The sequence below is a fragment of the Homo sapiens genome, chromosome Y, assembly GCF_000001405.40.
Source record: "Homo sapiens chromosome Y, GRCh38.p14 Primary Assembly".
Classification (NCBI taxonomy): domain Eukaryota; kingdom Metazoa; phylum Chordata; class Mammalia; order Primates; family Hominidae; genus Homo; species Homo sapiens.
This window is the reverse complement of record NC_000024.10, coordinates 1,652,611-1,672,474: the sequence shown is the minus strand read 5'-3', so window position 1 is coordinate 1,672,474 and position 19,864 is coordinate 1,652,611. Positions and strand designations below refer to the sequence as shown.

Here is a 19,864-nt window from a genome sequence, read left to right as displayed (position 1 = left end):
AGACTCAGGGCCAGCATGGTGGCTCACACCCGTAATCTCAGCACTTTGGGAGGCCAAGGTGGGAGGCTCACTTGAAGTCCAGAAGTTTGAGACCAGCCTGAGCAACATACTGACATCCTGTCTATAAAGAAATGATTTTATTTATTTTATTGAAATTTCATTTCAGACAGGGTCTCAGTCTGTCACCCAGGCTGCAATGCCACGATCTTGGCTCAATGCAGCCTCGATGTCCCGGACTCAGGAGATCCTCCCACCTCGGCCTCCCAAAGTGCTGGGATTACAGGAATGAGCCACTGCACCCAGCCAAAAAAATTTTAAAAACACCTAGCCAAGCATGGTGGCACAGGCCTATAATCCTAGCTACTCACATGGCTGAGGCAGGAGGATTGCCTGAGCCCAGGAGTTTGAGACTGCAGTCAGCTAGGATTACACTACTACACTCCAGCCGGGGCAACAGAGCAAGATCCTGTGTCTAAAATAAATAAATGAATAAAAGTTAGACATCAGTGCTTGCAAGAAATTTAGCGTCTTCATTCATTCATTGATTTTCCCACAGTTATCAAATGTCTCCTCTGAGCTAGGGTCCACTCTAACGGGGCCCGATACAGTAACAACCAGTGTTCACAGAAATAGCAAGCTCTCAGCTTCCTTCTCTCCTGCCTCTTAATTTCAAAATCTCTTGCTCACACACATCGGTGTCACACGCGTCCGTGTGAAGAGAGTCCGGGCTGAGTCCATAAAAAAGAGTCAGCAAAGGGTGGCGGGATTATCATTAGTTCTTATAGGTTTGGGATAGGCAGTGGAGTTAGGAGCAATTTTTTCTAGGCAGGGAGTGGATGCCACAAAGGACATTCTCAACGGTGGGGAGAATATTACAAAGTACCTTCTTTTTTTTTTTTGAGATGGAGTCTCGCTCTGTCGCCCAGGCCGGACCGCAGTGGCGCGATCTCGGCTCACTGCAACCTCCACCACCCGGGTTCACGCCATTCTCCTGCCTCAGCCTCCCGAGTAGCTGGGACTACAGGCGCCCGCCACCACACTGGGCTAATTTTTTTGTATTTTTAGTAGAGACGGGGTTTCACCGTGTTAGCCAGGATGGTCTCGAACTCCTGACCTCGTGATCCGCCCGCCTCGGCCTCCCAAAGTGCTGGGATTACAGGCGTGAGCCACCGCGCTCGGCCTACAAAGTACCTTCTTAAGGGCGGGGGAGGATATTACAAAGTACCTTTCCAAGGGTGAGGAGGCTGTATCGTACAAAGTACATTCACAAGGACAGGGGAATATCACAAAGTACACGACTGCAAGGGCGGGGAGGGTGTATTGTCCCAAAGTCAACTGATCAGTAAGGGTGGAGCAGGAACAGATCACAATGGTAGAATGTCATCTTCTGTGGTCCTTCAGTTGCTCCAGGCCATCTAGATGTATACATGCAGGTCACAGGGGTGACCTGACAATCAGTCCACAAAGGAGCTGTCCAAGGCTGCGTCAGTGGCGTGGAAAACAATACGTATGGAAATTTTAAAGACCAGTGTTGGGTCTTTGGCTGTCCTAGACACCTGCGGACGCCTGAAAGTCTGGAAATGCACTGTTTGTAAGAAAAGGCCTTTGAGAGGCAAATGCACCCCTAAGCAGTAACATGAAGTTGGAAGAGGATACACAGAGGAGTTTAGGGATGGAAGAAAGCTTAAAGTGGGTGAGAAGAGCCCGGTGCAGTGGCTCACGCCTGTAATCCCAGCATTTTGGGAGGCCGAGGCGGGCGGATCACCTGAAGTCAGGAGTTCGAGACCAGCCTGGCCAACATGGTGAAACCCCGTGTCTACTAAAAATACAAAAAAAAAAAAAAAAAAAAAAAAATAGCTGGACGTGGTGGTGGGCGCCTGCAGTCCCAGCTACTTGGGAGGCTGAGGTAGGAGAATCGCTTGAACCCGGAGGCGGAGGTTGCAGTGAGCCGAGATCACACCATTGCACTCCGCACTGGGCAGCAGAGTGAAACACCATCTCAAAACAGAAACAAAAAAAAACAAATGGCTGAGAAGGACCAGAGACCCCTCCAAAGGTCCTGCCACCCCCCACCTCGAGGCATGGAAATAAAAAGAAAAATTGTGAGTTTCTTCAAGAGACATTCTGGGCAGCTAGCTAGCCCTACAACCATTCGGGGCGTGAATGAATAACACAGTAAACAAGCAAATAGTAACTCAAACAATAGCCACCCCTAGTAAGCCAGACTCATAAGATGTTTGATTCCCCATAGAAATGAAAGAAAACATAATGATATATGTCTCTGAGTTGTTTTTGTTTTTCTTTCTTCTTTGTTTGTTTGTGAGATGGAGTCTCGCTCTGTCGCCCAGGCTGGAGTGCAGTGGCACAATCTCAGCTCACTGCAACCTCCGCCTCCCGGGTTCATGCCATTCTCCTGCCTCAGCCTCCTGAGTAGCTGGGACTACAGGCACCCGCCACCATGCCGGGCTAATTTTTTGTATTTTTAGTAGAGACGGAGATTCACCATGTTGGCCAGGCTGGTCTCAAACTCCTGACCTTGCGATCCGCCTGCCTCAGCTTCCCAAAGTGCTGGGATTACAGGCATGAGCCACCGCGCCTGCCTGTTTGTTTTTGAGACGGAGTTTCACTCTGTCGCCCAGGCTGGAGTGCAGTGGCGCAATCTCGGCTCACTGCAACCTCCGCCTCCCGACTTCAAATGATTCTCCTGCCTCAGCCTCCCAAGTAACTGGGATTACAGGCACACACCACCAAGCCCGGCTAATTTTTATATTTTTAGTAGACACGGAGTTTCACCATGTTGGCCAGGCTGGTCTCAAACTCCTGACCTCAGGTGATCTGCCCGCCTCGGCCTCCGAAGGAGAGCCTGTCCCAAAGACAGGTTATACCTGTCTCAGCCTTTTCCTGCTCACAGGCGAGTGCCCAGAAAGCCTCATGAACGTTGCTGGAAATGAAAATCATCTCTCTTAGCTTCAAAGAAAGAGGAGTCAGAGGGGGTGAAAAGTGAAGTGGCCGGCACGCCCGGCGGGCTGCGGTGAATGAAATGTCAGGTTTCCAGGTGTAAAACGGTCCCCTGCGGACATCAGAAACAACCTTTCCACTCCTCAGCCTGCAAATGCTCAATTAGACAAACGGAACCTTGTGGCAGCTTTTATCTTTCTCTCTAATGGTCATTAAACGTACTGGCCTTTGATTTTAAAAGTCCAGGACCTGTCCGGGCGCGGTGGCTCACGCATGTAATCCCAGCACTTTGGGAGGTCCAGGTGGGTGGATCACAAGGTCAGGAGTTCGAGACCAGCCTGGCCAATATGGCGAAACCCCGTCTCTACTAAAAGTACAAAAAAATTAGCTGGGCGTGGTGGCACATGCCTGTAATCCCAGCTACTCCGGAGGCTGAGGCGGGAGAATTGCTTGAATCTGGGAGGCGGAGGTTGCAGTGAGCCGAGATTGTGCCACTGCACTCCAGCCTGGGCAACAGAGCAAAACTCCATCTCAAAAACAAAGAAACAGCCGGGCGCAGTGGTTCATGCCTGTAATCCCAGCACTGTGGGAGGTCCAGGTGGGTGGATCACAAGGTCAGGAGTTCGAGACCAGCCTGGCCAATATGGCGAAACCCCGTCTCTACTAAAAATACAAAAAAATTAGCTGGGCGTGGTGGCACATGCCTGTAATCCCGGCTACTCGGGAGGCTGAGGCGGGAGAATTGCTTGAATCTGGGAGGCAGAGGTTGCAGTGAGCCGAGACTGTGCCACTGCACTCCAGCCTGGGTGACAGAGTGAGACTCCGTCTCAAAAAAAAAAAAAAAAAAAGTCCAGGACCTGACTTTCATCCCTGGAGATGTCCCAAGCAAGATAAAAATCCTGTAATCCTTACCAGCGAAAGCACGCCAATTCACCGGGCACAGAAATAATGAATTTCTCTAAACTATTATTATTATTATTATTATTATTATTATTATTATTATTATTTGAGATGGAGTTTCCCTCTTGTTGCCCAGGCTGGAGTGCAGTGGCTGGATCTCGGCTCACTGCAACCTCCACCTCCTGGGCTCAAGCGATTCTCCTGCCTCAGCCTCCCGAGTAGCTGTAATTACAGGTGCCCACCACCACACCTGGCTAATTTTGTATTTTTAGTAGAGATGGGGTTTCTCCATGTTGGTCAGGCTGGTCTCGAACTCCTGACTTCAGGTGATCCGCCTGCCTCGGCCTCCCAAAGTCCTGGGATTACAGGCGTGAGCCACCGCGCCCAGCCGAATTTCTCTAAATTATAAAGCACAGAAGGCAGAAACCACTATGGACAGGTTTGTTCAAGAGTTCTCAGAGCTCCACAGTCGGCTCGGGAACATTTTAGAGAATGCTTGATAAACACAAGGAATGAACAATTCATGATTCTATGAATGAAATGAGTTCATTTCCTTCCCTAATCAAGACGCTGTACTGGGTTAAAATGTATCCCCCCTCCAAAACAAATTCACGTCTACCCAGAACCTCAGAGTGTGTCCTTAATTGTAAGTAGGGTCTTTCTACATGTGATATAGTTAAGGATGTTGAAATAGGATCATCTTGCATTTAACTTGGGTCCTAAATCCACTGACAGGTGTCCTTCTAAGAGACAGAAGAGGAGACACGGACACAGAGGAGAAGGCCATGTGGAGACGGAGGCAGAGACTGGAGTCATGCGGCCACAAGCCCAGGGACACTTGGAGCCCGCAGGAGCTGGGAGAAGCAGGAAGGACCCTCCCCAGAGCCTCCGGAGGGAGCTGCATGTAGTTGAAAGATCTGTTCACGTGCTATTGTCCACAAGCTGCAGTGGGACATTATTTGGAAATAGTGTCTTTGTAGATATGATTACTTAAGTATGTAGAGATGAGGTCATATGGAGTTAGGGTGGACCCTAAATGCAATGACAGGTGTCCTTCTGAGAGACAGAAGAGGAGACACAGACACAGAAGAGAAGGCCACGTAGAGATGGAGGCAGAGATTGCAGTGATGCGGCCAGAAGCCCAGAAATGTCTGAAGCCCCCAGGAACTGGGAGAGGCAGGAAGGACCCTCCCCTAGAGCCTCTGGAGGGAACCAGACACAATTGCAAAGACTTGAATGGTGATCCCCAAAAGATCTGTCCATGTCCTAACCCCCAGAATCTGTGAACCGGACCTTATTTGAAAATAAGGTCATTGCAGATGTAATTAGTTAATGATCTTGAGAGGAGATCATCCTGGAGCAGGGTAGGCCGTAAATGCAATGACAGGTGTCCTCCTAAGAGACAGAAGAGGAGACACAGACACAGAGAAGAAGGCCACGTGGAAACAGAGACAGAGACTGCAGTGATGTAGCCACAAGCCCAGGGATGCCTGGAGCCCCCAGGAGCTGGGAGAGGCAGGAAGGACGCTCCACTGCAGCTTCTGGAGGGAGCTGAATACAACTGGAAGAGATTGAGTGGTGTCCCCCAAAAGATGAGTCCACATCAAAACCTGAGAACCTGTAAATGGGACCATATTTGGAAAAAGGGGTCTTTGCAGATGTAGTTATATTAAGGATCTGGAGATGAGATCATCCTGCAATAGGGTGGGCCCTAAATGCAATGACAGGTGTCCTTTTAACAGACAGAAGAGGAGACACAGATGCAGAGGAGGTGGCCACGTGGAGATGGAGGCAGAAACTGGAGTGATGGGGCCACAAGCTCAGGGACACCTGGAGCCCCCAGGAGCTGGCAGAGGCAAGAAGGACCCTCCCCTAGAGCCTCCACAGGGAGTGTGGCCCTGAGACTCCTGGTCTACAGGACTGAGAGAGAATGAGTTTCTGTTGTTTCAATCCCCTAGTACCTATCAGTGAGACTTTATTTGGAAATACGGTTTCTGCAGATATAATTAATTCAAAAGCTCGAGATAAGATCATCCTGGACAACAGTGGACCCTAACTCTAATGACCACAGTCCTCATAAAAGACAGACGAGGAGACACGGACACAGAGGAGAGGGCCATGTGGAGACGGAGGCAGAGACCGGAGTGATGCGGCCACAAGCCCAGGGACACCTGGAGCCCCCAGGAGCTGGGAGAAGCAGAAAGGACCCTCCCCTAGAGCCTCCAGAGGGAGCACGGCCCTAAGACACGTTGTTCTGAGACTTCTGTTCTCTAGGAGTGAGAGAGAATGAGTTTCTGTTGCCTTAAGCCCCTAGTACCTGTCAGTGACACTTTATTTGGAAACAGCGTGTCTGCACACATAATTAATTCAAGGAGCTTGAGATGAGATCATCCTGTAGGAGAGTGGACATAAATCTAATGACCACTGTCCTCACAAGAGACAGAAGAGGAGGCCGGGAGTGGTGGCTCACGCCTCTAATCCCACCACTTAGGGAGGCCGACGCGGGCAGATCACGAGGTCAGGAGATCGAGACCATCCTGGCTAACACGGTGAAACCCCGTCTCTACTAAAAATATAAAAAAATTAGCCGGGCGTGGTGGCGGGTGCCTGTAGTCCCAGCTACTCAGGAGGCTGAGGCAGGAGAATGGCGTGAACCCGGGAGGTGGAACTTGAAATAAGCCGAGATGGCGCCACTGCACTCCAGCCTGGGCGACAGAGTGACACTCAGTCTCAGAAAAAAAAAAAAAAAAAGAGAGACAGAAGAGGAGACACAGACACAGAGGAGAAGGCCACGTGGAGACGGAAGCAGAGACTGCAGCGATGAGGCCACAAGCCCAGGGACACCTGGAGTCCCCAGGGGGTGGGAGAGACACGATGGACCTTCCCCTAGAGCTTTCGAAAGGAACTGGATGCAACTGAAATGGATTGAACTGTAGTCCAGCAAAAGCTACCTGGCAATGCCTCATGCACAGTCCCTCTCTGCATCTTGAAAGCCAGCTGTATAGCCTCTTCCAATCTCTCTGACTCTGCCCATGCTACCTCCTCTTCTGAGAACCCTGTGAAGACACTGGGTCCATCCAAGATGCAGGATCATGTCCCATCTCCAGATCCTTACCTTTATCGCACCTGCAACATTCATTTTGCCACGTGAAGTCACATGTTCACAGGTGCAGGGATCCAGGAATTAGGATGTGGCCATCATCATGGGTGTTATTTTCCCTACCCATATACCCCAATCCGAGGGATGAACGATAGCTCTGAAGTCAGTGATTATAGCAAGATTACCACCTACCCTTGAAAACATCAAATGTATTGACTTTTAGAGGTTGTGAGGGACCATTCCCTCAAGTCCAAAGACACAAAGACACAAAGGGTCCTTGTCTTGACAAACCCCATCATCCTCGTGTTTTGGAGGGTTTTGTTTGTTTGTTTGTTTTATTGAGATGGAGTTTCACTCTTGCTGCCCAGCCAGTGGCGCGATCTCGACTTACCGCAACCTCCACCTCCCGGGTTCCAGCAATTCTCCTGCCTCAGCCTCCCGAGTAGCTGCGATTACAGGCACCTGCCACCACGCCCGGTTAATTTTTGGATTTTTAGTAGGGACGGGGTTTCACCATGTTGACCAGGCTGGTCTTGAATTCCTGACCTCAAGCGATCCACCCACATTGTCCTCTGAAAGTGCTGGGATTGCAGCTGTGAACCACCGTGCCCTGCCAGCTTTAATGTTAATAGCTGTATTTGTGGTATTTGAATATGTGTTTTTGTTAACCTGACCTGCAATTCCCTAGAGCACTTTTTAAAAGCCTGCTTTATCAAATCTGAAGTTGTACGGAGAAAGGTGATCTTTCTGGTACTTGCTGGAGGTGTTCTATTTTTTTTTTTTGTTAATGTCTCTCAAACTGCCACATGAATGCACCACTTTAAAAGGACTGAATAGTCAAATGTTCATCAAAGCAAAATACAGATACTCCTTGACCTAAAATGGCTTACGTCCTGATAAACCCATTGTAAGTTGAAAAGATCCTTGCTTGAAAAGACATTTAATACAGCTAGCCTTCCAAACATCATCGCTTAGCCTGCCTTAAACACAGTACTCACATTTGTCTACAGTTGGGCAAAATCACCTAACGCAAAGACTATTTTAGAATACAGTATTGACTGTCTCATGTAATTTATTAAATACTGTGCATAACATCAATTTTTTGTTTGTTTGTTTTGAGACAAAGCCTTTCTCTGTTGCCCAGGCCACATTGCAGTGGCGTGATCTCGGCTCACCGCAACCTCCACCTCCCGGGTTCAAGCGATTCTCCTGCCTCAGCCTCCTGAGTAGCTGGGATTACAGGTGCCCGCCACCACACCCTGCTAATTTTTGTATTGTTAGTAGACACGGGGTTTCACCATTTTGGCTAGGCTGGTCTCGAACTCCTGACCTCAGGTGATCCGCCTGCCTTTTAAAAATTAAAAAAAAAAAAGACAAAGAGAGTCTGTCTCTGGAGTGCAGTGGCTGGAGTTCAATGGCGCGATCTCAGCTCACTGCAACCTCCGCCTCCCAGATTTAAGTGATTCTCGTGCCTCAGCCTCCTGAGTAACTGGAATGGCAGGCACTTGCTACCACGCCCGGCTAATTTTTTTTGTATTTTTAGTAGAGACAGGGTTTCACTATGTTGGCCAAGCTGGTCTCAAACTCCTGAGCTCAAGTGATCCACCCGCCTCGTCCTCCTTAAGAGTTGGGATTACAGGCATGAGCCACCACACACAGCCTGAATAAAGTTTTGACAGCATTACTGATTACTGTTCTGAGTGACATTTATTATTTTATATTTTTTTCTTCCCGGAGAGCTATTATGTCCATATGAAAACAATTATTAAAGCGTACAAAATTACAGCTAGACACGTGGAATAAACTCTAGTGTTCTAAAGCCCTGTAGAATGATGATAGTTAACAATAATATATTCTACAGTTTCAAATAGTTGGAAGGAGGATATTAAATGTTCCCTACACAAAGAAATGATGGGCATGGTAGCTCATGCCTGTAATCGCAGCACTTTGGGAGGCCGAGGCAGGTGGATCCCCTGAGGTCAGGAGTTCCAGACCAGCCTGGCCAACACGGCAAAACTCTGTCTCTACTAAAAAAACAAAAATTAGCTGGCTGTGGTGGCACATGCCTGTAATCCCAGCTACCTGGTAGGCTGAGGCAGGAGAATTGCTCAAACCCTGGATGTGGAGGTTGCAGTGAGCCGAGATCATGCCATTGCACTGCAGCCTGGATGAGAGAGCGAGAGAAGAAAGAAAGACAGAAAGAAAGAGAGAGAGAGACCAAAAGAGAGAAAGTGAGACAGAGAGACAGAAAAAGAAAGAGAGAAAGAAAGGGGAGAGAGAGAGAGAGAGAGAACGGAAGGAAGGAAGGAACAAAGGAAGGAAGGAAAGGCAGTTCGACGTGATGGACATGCTATCAATCATCTCATTATAGATTATATGGATCTGATCATTAATTATACATTGATCATTATATGCTATAAGGATCTGATAATTACACACTATATGGATAGAAACATCACTATGTATCCCGTGAATATGTGCCATTTTTCTCAATTAAAAAGAATAAAATAAGGCCGGGTGCGGTGGCTCACGCCTGCAATCCCAGCACTTTTGGGAGGCCGGGTGGATCACGAGGTCAAGAGTTCGAGATCAGTCTGACCAACATGGTAAAACCCCGTCTCTACTAAAAAATATATATATATATATATATATATATATACAAAAAAATTAGCCGGGTGTGGTTGCGCTTGCCTGTAATCCCAGCTACTGAGGAGGCTGAGGCAGGAGAATCGCTTGAACTCGGGAGGTGGAGGTTGCAGTGAGCTGAGATCGCACCACTGTGCTCCAGCCTGGGAGGCAGAGTGAGACTGTCTCAAAAAATAAAAAATTTTTTAAAAAAAGAATAAAAATTTTAAAAAGCACAGAATTTGTATAACTCATTCTGACAAATAAAAGTCACTTGTTCTTTTTTAATCGAATAAATGGATACGAGGTTTTGCTATGTTGCCCACGTTGGTCTCAAATTCCTGGGCTCAAGTGATTCTCCCACCTCGGCCTCCCAGAGTGCTGGGATTACAGGCGTGAGCCACTGTATACGACCTAAAAGTCACTTTTTTTTTTTTTTAATACGGAGTCTTGCTCTGTTGCCCAAGCTGGAGTGCAGTGGCTCGATCTCGGCTCACTGCAAGCTCCGCCTCCCAGGCTCAAGTGATTCTCCTGCCTCAGCCTCCCAAGTAGCTGGGATTACAGGCACCCCCCACCACGCCAGGCTAATTTTTGTATTTTTATTATAGACAGGGTTTCACCATGTTGGCCAGGCTGGTCTCGAACTCCTGACCTCAGGTGATCCTCCCACCTTGGCCTCCCAAAGTGCTGGGGTTACAGGCGTGAGCCACTGCGTACGGCGTAAAAGTCACCTATTTTTAAACAAAAAACAAAAGAACAATGTGACCGAAGAGAACAGCAGTAAATGACACAGAACTCACTCTGCTGCTTTCACAAACCCTCCATGCCCCGCATCTCACCGGATCCCCGGAAGCTGGTGGCCCCAGATGAATTTGTAAGCTTCCTTCCTGCCAATGCTTCGTGCAAGTGCACGCCGGGGCAAGCCCATCGAGAAGCCGAATTGCTTCTGCCGCTTCCCCTCTAAGCGCTGTTGAAACTTGGCAGCAACGTGCCAGGGGGGACCCCTTCCCACTGTGCAGGCGCTGACGTGATTCACAGGGTTCGCTAGATTCGCACTCAACCCAACTCTGGGCTGTGGTGGGCCCTGTGTGATTGACAGCTGCCTGGCTCTATAGCGGGGTGACTTCAGCTAGACTCAGCCAATGGGGAGCAGGTGCAGGGGCTAGGGGGCGGGAAGAGAGAGAGAGAGAGAAGGCCCTGTGTAATTGACATCTGCCTGGCTCTGCTTGACATCACCTGGCTGGGTGACTTCATCAGGGTTCAGCCAATGGGGAGCAGATGCAGGGGCTAGGGGGCGGGAAGAGAGAGAAGGCCCTGTGTAATTGACATCTGCCTGGCTCTGATTGACAGCACCTGGCTGGGTGACTTCAGCAGGGCTCAGCCAATGGGGAGCAGGTGCAGGGGCTAGAGGGCGGGAAGAGAAGGCCCTGTGTAATTGACAGCTGCCTGGCTCTCATTGACATCACCTGGCTGGGTGACTGCAGCAGGGCTCAGCCAATGGGGAGCAGGTGCAGGGGCTAGAGGGCGGGAAGAGAAGGCCCTGTGTAATTGACATCTGCCTGGCTCTGATTGACATCACCCTGGCTGGGTGACTTCAGCAGGGCTCAGCCAATGGGGAGCAGGTGCAGGCACTAGGGGGCGGGAAGACAGAGAAGGCCCTGTGTAATTGACATCTGCCTGGCTCTGACTGGCGTCACCCTGGCTGGGTGACTTCAGCAGGGCTCAGCCAATGGGGTCCAGGCGCAGGGGCTAGGGGGCGGGAAGAGAAAGAAGGCAAAGAACGGATTCCTTCTCCTCTACCTTTAGCCCTGGGCGTCAGGACTTGATAGAACAGCCCCTCCCTTGCTCCTTGAGGTCTGGGATTTGCATCAGCCTCCCTGGCGTTTTCTTCTCATTTGACCCGCCCCCCCTTCTCAGTGACCCTCCTTTTCTCCAAGGCTCTGACGCCACGGAGCAAGAAGTCAGTTCGCCGCCTGTACACTGACCTATGTAGGCAGATATTATTATTATTATATTATTATTACATTTTTATTATTATATTTATATTTCATTTTACTTTATTTTACTTTTTATCTTATTTTATTTTAGAGACAGAGGCTCGTTGTGTTGCCCAGGCTGTAGCGCAATGGTGCAATCTCGGCTCACTGCAACCCCCAACTCCCGGGTTCAAGCGATTCTCCTGACTCAGCCTCCTGAGTAGCGGGGATTACAGGCATGCGCCACCAACCCTGGCTAATTCTTGTATTTTTCAGTGGAGATGCGGTTTCTCCATGTAGGCCAGTCTGGTCTCGAACTCCTGACCTCAAGCGATCCGCCCGCCTCGGCCCCCCAAAGTGCTAGGATTACAGGCTTAAGGGTCATTTTTAAGAAGACTCCTTGTTCAAAGAAGTCTGCTGAGCAGTGAGTTTGTGCTAAAACAGCTTGCGAAGCTCGGAGAGGAGACTGTTCGCATTCCCGAACTCGTGTTGGGTCACACACGCCGCTGTTGGGAAGACAATGGCACCTGCCGCTCAGACCCATCGAGGCCGGACAGGGGTTTTATCAAGGTCAGCCCCAGGTCGCTTCCCGTCTGTAAATGGAGTCTCGTGGTGCCCGAGGTCGGGGGTGGCGATGCCCGGAGATCGTGCAACGGCTCCTGGGAGGTAGGAAGATCTCTGGTGCCGTCCGGGTGCACTCTGGGTGTGAGCACTAACCAGCGAGCCCCCTGGCCTGCAGAGACGGCCTTTCCTCCACACTCAGGTCACCTGTGAGGAATGTACCTATGGCCCAAGAAGCCGAGATGGCCCAGAGCGCAGGGCTCTCTCGGGGCAGGTTGTGCTTTTTCACACCTCGGACGCTGCCCTGCTGTTCCCTCCGCTACCACATCCACCCAGGGCTGAACGCACCAGGCTCGTTGCCACCAGGCCTCACCTGGGACCACACAGAGAGTGTCTGCCTGTGCCCCTCCTCTCACACACACAAATCAGCATGTGCCTATACACATACGCACTTGCACATACACGCACACACATAGATGCACACATGCAGACACACGTATACACACATGTGCAAATGCTCACATTCACATACACAAATACAAATACAAATGCATACAGACACTAACAGGCATACACACTCATACATATCCATATCTACACACACCCAAATATACACATGCACAAACACATACACACAAATGCATACAGACACCAGCATACACGTGCATACATATCCATATGTACACACACAAAGGCACACATGCACATATGCACACATACACACAAATGCATACAGACACTAATATACATGCTCATACATATCCATATCTACACACGCAAATATACACATGCACATACACACAAATGCATACAGACATTAATATACACGCTCATCCATATCCATATCTACACACACAAATGCACACATGCACATATGCACAAATGCATACACAAACAACTGCACACACACTAGCATGCATATACACACACATGCACACACACAGACACCCAAATATACACATGCAGAAACACACTCATGTGCAAATACATAATACACTTACACAGACATAAATACACAAATATAAACACACACATTCACATGCATACACAAAGAGGCAAACACACACAGACAGCCATACATATACAAACACACATCCACAAAGACACACACATATGTACAGACACAAACATAATCACAAGCAAAGATAACACACAAACACATACACAGACACACGCAGAAACACACACGCATACACACATTCCTGAAGCTCTCCACCTCTACCAGCCACACAACCATATGCACACACATACACATTTCTTAGTTAAGAAAAATAGACCGGGCGCGGTGGCTCACGCCTGTTATCCCAGCACTTTGGGAGGCTGAGGTGGGCGGATCACGAGGTCAGGAGTTCGAGACCATCCTGGCTAACACAGTGAAACCCCGTCTCTACTAAAAATACAAAAAATTAGCCAGGCGTGGTGGCTCATGCCTGTAATCCCAGCACTTTGGGAGGCCGAGGCGGGGAGATCGCGAGGTCAGGAGATCGAGACCATCCTGGCTAACACAGTGAAACCCCGTCTCTACTAAAAATACAAAAAATTAGCCGGGCGTGGTGGCGGGCGCCTGTAGTCCCAGCTATTCGGGAGGCTGAGGCAGGAGAATGGCGTGAACCCGGGAGGCGGAGCTTGCAGTGAGCTGAGATCGCCCCACTGCACTCCAGCCTGGGCGACAGAGTGAGATTCTGTCTCAAAAAAAAAAAAAAAAAGAAAGAAAGAAAGAAAAATAGAAAAACACATCTTTAGAAACTATCACCTGCAAACTGCAAAACAAACAAACAAACAAACAAACAAAAAAGTGTGCTGGGGCTTGGATACCACAACTGACAACCTAAATTATTGAGGTAGCAAACTGCCTAGAAGAGGTAGACATTTGCGGCCCTGAAATCAGGACCCGGCGGTGAGAGACACCGCCTGCGTTGTTTTTACAGTTTTATTAGCCACATCCCTCAGGGAATCTCACCGCAGGTCTCAGGAGCTCTCTCTAATCTTGTTAACCTTCTGCGCCTCTCCTCCCGGAGTACAAACTAATCTTTCTTAATGCAAGAGGACAGGGCAGCTTTGGAAAGGCCGTCACCAGACAGCCAGCGTTCCCCATCCTCACAACTGGACCTTGGAGAGCTTTGGTGTATGGAAACCGGCTCCCCTGGAGGGGGGAGGTGAAACGTTGAAACCCTGACAGACGGTGTCACTGAGCTTAGAGCTCATGTTTCTAGAAAAGGCAACAGATGCAGTGTCTGATGACGAAGCTTAATTTGGGATGTGCTGAGCAGGAATTATTTAAACCAATCCGTTGATGAATTTGTCTTTAAGGAATATGTCCTTTCTCTCGTGAGTCACTCAGGCTCCTGGACACCTGCCTGCCAGCCCTCACTGAATCTCCCCAGAGGCTCTTCATGTCTGCTGCCTGACAATTTTCTCCAGAGTGTACAAAAGCAAAGGAGAGAGCTCCCCTCCCAGACTGCTGGAGGGATGTGGGGACTTACCGCATGGCTGATGCTCTCAGGTTCCAGCCAGACTTAATGTCCTAAAATGCACCCAAGACAGGCAGGCCTGGGTCCAGACGGCCAGCGGGGAGGGCTGCCCGGGCTCGTCTGCAGAGCCCGGAAAAGGAGGAGGAGGTGAACAGAGGAAGGAGGAAGGGTGATGGGGCCTGCAGGGTGTGATATGACGTGAGTTATCACCTCCCTTTGTGCTGCTGCTGTTTCTTACTGTGGGAAAATACCCATCACACACAGTTTGCCATTTTAAAAATTGCACAATGAAGAGACGATTTAGTGCACTGAGCATTTTACACAACCACCGGCCCTAGCTAGTTCCAGAACACCTTCGTAACCCAAAAAAAAACACCCCATACCCATTAAACCGTCACTCCCCAGTCTCCCTGCTCTCAGCCTTAAGCAATCACCCATCTGCTCTCTGACTCTGCAAGCAGTCTTATTCTAGACACTTCATGCAAATGATATTGTGCCATTTTGCACTTTTGTGCCTGGGTGTTTTTTGTTGTGGTGGTGGTGGTGGTTGTTTTGTTGTTTTTGTTTTCACTCCGTTACTTCTACACCAAACTAATACATGATGTATTCAGTCAGAGGCTATCAAGGACTCAAAAGAATACAACCTTTTCTCTTTTTTTTGAGATGGAGTCTCACTCTGTCACCCACGCTGGAGTGCAGTGGCGTGATCTCGGCTCACTGCAACCTCCGCCACCCGGGTTCAAGCGATTCTCCTGCCTCAGCCTCCCGAGTAGCTGGGATTACAGGTAACTGCCACCATGCCCGACTAATTTTTTTTGTATTTTTAGTAGAGATGGGGTTTCACCATGTTGGCCAGGCTGGTCTCAAACTCCCGACCTCAGGCGATCCACCCACCTCGGCCTCCCAAAGTGCTGGGATGACAGGCGTGAGCCACCACACCTGGCCCCCATTTTTATGGTTATTTCTTGATGATATGCTAAACTAGGAGTGGATTATTCATATGGACTCTTTTTAGACCATATACATTGTATTAGTCAGGGTTCCTTAGAGGAATAGAACTAATAGAAGATATATACACACACACGCACACACACACACACATATATATGTATTGTGTGTGTATATATATGTGTGTGTGTATATGTGTGTATATATGTGTGTATGTGTGTATATATGCGTATACACACGTGTATATATGCGTGTACACACGTGTATATATGTGTGTACACACGTGTATATATGCGTGTACACACGTATATATGCGTATACACACGTGTATATATGCGTATATGCACATATGTGTACATGCACATATGTGTGTATACACATGTGCATATACACATATATGTGTATACATGTATATATACACATGTGTGTGTATACACGTGTATATATGTGTGTATATATACACGTGTATATATACACACATATACGTACATATATATGTGTGTGTGCGTGTGTGTGTATCTTCTATTTGTTCTATTCCTCTAAGGAACCCTGACTAATACAATCTATATGGTCTAGAAAGAGTCCACATGAATTATATATATATGAAGGGGAGTTTATTAAGGAGAATTAACTCACAGAGTCACAAGGTGAGGTCCCACCATAGGTCATCTACAAGCTGAGGAGGCAGGAAGCCAGTCTGAGTCCCAAGGATTAAGAACTTGGAGTCCAGTGGTCCAGGGCAGGAAGCATCCAGCAAAGGAGGAAGATGGAGGCTGGGAGGCTAAGCCAGTCTAGCCTTTTCACGCTCCTCTGCCTGCTTTTATTCTGGCCAGACTGGCAGCTGATGAGACGGTGCCCACCCAGATTGAGGGGGGTTCTGCCTCTCCGAGTCCACTGACTCTAGTGTTATTCTCCTTTGGCAACACCCTCACAGACACACCCAGGAACAACGCTTTGATTGGATCTTTCAATCCAATCAAGCTGCCATTCAGTATTAACCATCACGCCCAGGAAACTCACTCACGGGTCACGATATGCGAAGGTCACTCTAAAATCACTCTAGCTATAAGAGATATTACCCGGGCCTGGCGTGGTGGCTCACGCCTGTCATCCCAGGACTTTGGGAGGCCGAGGCTGGTGGATCACTTGAGGTCAGGAGTACAAGACCAGCCTAACCAACATGCTGAAACCCCATCTCTACTAAAAATACAAAATTTAGCCAGGCATGGTGGTGCGCACCTGTAGTCCCAGCTACTCGGGAGGCTGAGGCAGGGGAATCACTTGAACCTGGGAGACGGAGGTTGCAGTGAGGCGAGATCGCGCCATTGCACTCCAGCCTGGGTGACAGAGAAAGACTCTGTCAAAAAAAAAAAAAACAACCATCAGCTGGTCTGCCTTATTCCAGGAGGCCCACAGAAAGTCTTGGGCAAAATGAAACAGCAGACTCTGGTCCCAGCTCTCTGGCTTTACACATCTACAGACCCTGGGTACCCCCAGCAGGCAGCACCCAGCAGGCCTGAATTATCCTGTCTCCCCCTCCTCCCCAGACGCGGTCTTGAGCCATGTCCTGTTTTGGAACTGTGGCTAAGGGGAGCTTGTGGGTATCAAGTCTCCAGGTATCAGCAGCTCCTCTCATAAACCAAAAATAGGCCGGGCGTGGTGGCTCATGCCTGTGATCCCAGCACTTTAGGAGGCTGAGGCAGACGGATCACGAGGTCAGGAGTTCAAGACCAGCCTGACCAACATGGTGAAGCCCCATCTCTACTAAAAATTAAAAAATTAGCCAGGCATGGTGGCGGGCGCCTGTAGTCCCAGCTGCTTGGGAGGCTGAGGCAGGGGAATCGCTTGAACCCGGCAGGCGGAGGTTGCAGTGAGCCGAGTTGGGGCCACTGCACTCCAGCCTGGGCAACAGAGCGAGACTCCTTCTCAAAAAAATAAAAAATAAATAAATAAAGCAAAAATAAAAATCTGAATGGACTCCCTCCTTGGCCAGGACACTCTAAAATTTAACATGAAATTATTTCAATTTCAATTTAAAGTTCATGCCATGTTGGGAAGTGGAGGTTGGCCAGGCCTCGCCACACCCCTCTGTTACCAGAAAGGGGTCCTCATCCAGATCCCAAGAGAGGGTTCTAGGATCTCATGCAAGAAAGAATTGAGGGCAAGTCCATAGACCAAAGGGAAAGCGAGTTTATTGGGAAAGTAAAGGAATAAAAGAATGGCTACTCCGTAGACAGAGCAGTCCCCAAGGTTGCTGGTTACCCATTTTTATGGTTCGTTCTTTCTTTTCTTTCTTTCTTTCTTTTTTTTTTTTTTTTTTTTTTTGATTTTGAGACGGAGTCTTGCTCTGTCACCCAGGCTGGAGTGCAGTGGCATGATCTCGGCTCATCGCAACCTCTGCCTCCCAGGTTCAAGCGATTCTTCTGCCTCAGCCTCCCGAGTAGCTGGGACTACAGGCATGCACCACCACGCTGGGCTGATTTTTGTATTTTTAGTACAGATGGGGTTTTGCCATGTTGGTCAGGCTGGTGTCAAACTCCTGACCTCGTGATGCGCCCGCCTCGGCCTCCCAAAGTGCTGGGATGACAGGCGTGAGTCACCGCACCTGGCCTTTATGGTTATTTCTTGAAGATATGCTAAACAAGGGGCGGATTATTCATGCCTCCCCTTTTTAGACCATATAAGGTAACTTCCTGACGTTGCCATGGCATTTGAAAACTGTCATGGTGTTGGTGGGAGTATAGCAGTGAGGACGACCAGAGGTCACTGTTGTGGCCATCTTGGTTTTGGCGTGTTTTGGCTGGCTTCTTTACTGCAACCTGTTTTATCAGCAAGGTCTTTATGACCTGTACCTTGTACCAACCTCCTATCTCATCCTGTGACTTAGAATGCCTTAACCATCTCGGAATGCAGCCCAGTAAGTCTCAGCCTCATTTTACCCAGCCTCTATTCAAGGTGGAGTCGTTCTGGTTCAAACACCTCTGATATTTTCAGCATGAACATCAACACAGACCTTAAGTCTGGTAAGAAACATCTGGAGTCTCTGGTCGGGTGCGGTGGCTCACGCCTGTCATCCCAGCACTTTGGGAGGCCGAGGCGGGCAGATCATGAGGTCAAGAGATTGAGACCATCCTGGCCAACATGGTGAAACCCCGTCTCTACTAAAAATACAAGAATTAGCTGGTCATGGTGGTGCATGCCTGTAATCCCAGCTACTCGGGAGGCTGAGATAGGAGAATCACTTGAACCTGGGAGTCGGAGGTTGCAATGAACCAAGATTGCGCCACTGCACTCCAGCCTGGATGACAAGAGTGAAACTCCGTTAAAAAAAAAAAAAAAAAAAGAAAAGAAAAAGAAAAGAAAAAAAAAACATTTGCAGTCTCTTCTCTCAGAAGCCTGCTACCTGGGAAGCTTCATCTGCATAATAAAACCTCGGTCTCTACAACACCATCATAAGCCAGACATTCCTTACTACGGATAATAACTCTTTCAACCAATTGCCAATAAGTATGTTTTTGTTTGTTTGTTTGTTTGTTTTGAGACAGAGTATCCATGTGTCGCCCAGGCTGGAGTGCAGTGGCGTGATCTCGGTTCACTGCAACCTCCACCTCCCAGGTTCAAGCAATTCTCATGCCTCAGCCTCCCTAGCAGCTGAGATTACAAGCATGTGCCACCACGCTGTGCTGATTTTTTTGTATTTTTAGTAGAAACCGGGTTTCGCCATGTTGGCCAAGCTGATCTCAAACTCCTGGCCTCAAGTGTTCAAGCGATTCTCCTGCCTCAGCCTCCCAAGTAGCTGAGATTACAGGTTCACACCACCACACCCAGCTAATTTTTTTTTTTTTGACAGAGTCTCGCTCTGTCTCCCAGGCTGGAGTGCAGTGGCGCAATCTCGGCTCACTGCAAACTCCTGCCTCAGCCTCCTGAGTAGCTGGGACTACAGGCACCCGCCACCACATCAGGCTAATTTTTTTTTTGTATTTTTAGTACAGACGGGGTTTCACCGTGTTGGCCAAGATGGCCTCGATCTCCTGACCTCGTGATCTGCCCGCTTCGGCCTCCCAAAGTACTGGGATGACAGGTGTGAGCCACTGCGCCCGGCCTGATTTTGTATTTTTAGTACAGACAGGGTGTCACCATGTTGGCCAGGATGGTCTCGAACTCCTGACCTCAGGTGACCCACCCACCTCGGCCTCCCAAAGTGCTAGGACGACAGGTGTGAGCCACCGCGCCCGGCCCTGAATATGTTTAAGTGTAACCCCGCTTTGAGTCACCCTGCCGTTCGAGATAGAACCAACGTACATCTTACATGTATTGACTGATGC

General features: G+C 48.9%; 2 annotated features.

Moving 5' to 3' along the window:
• Positions 14,176-14,675: an enhancer, noted in NCBI's record as "H3K4me1 hESC enhancer chrX:1776693-1777192 (GRCh37/hg19 assembly coordinates)". NCBI's record gives its function as "activates a minimal SCP1, AML or CMV promoter by ChIP-STARR-seq in primed H9 embryonic stem cells {active_cell/tissue: H9 hESC(primed)}" and the evidence as "EXISTENCE:reporter gene assay evidence [ECO:0000049][PMID:30033119]".
• Positions 14,676-15,177: an enhancer, noted in NCBI's record as "H3K4me1 hESC enhancer chrX:1776191-1776692 (GRCh37/hg19 assembly coordinates)". NCBI's record gives its function as "activates a minimal SCP1, AML or CMV promoter by ChIP-STARR-seq in primed H9 embryonic stem cells {active_cell/tissue: H9 hESC(primed)}" and the evidence as "EXISTENCE:reporter gene assay evidence [ECO:0000049][PMID:30033119]".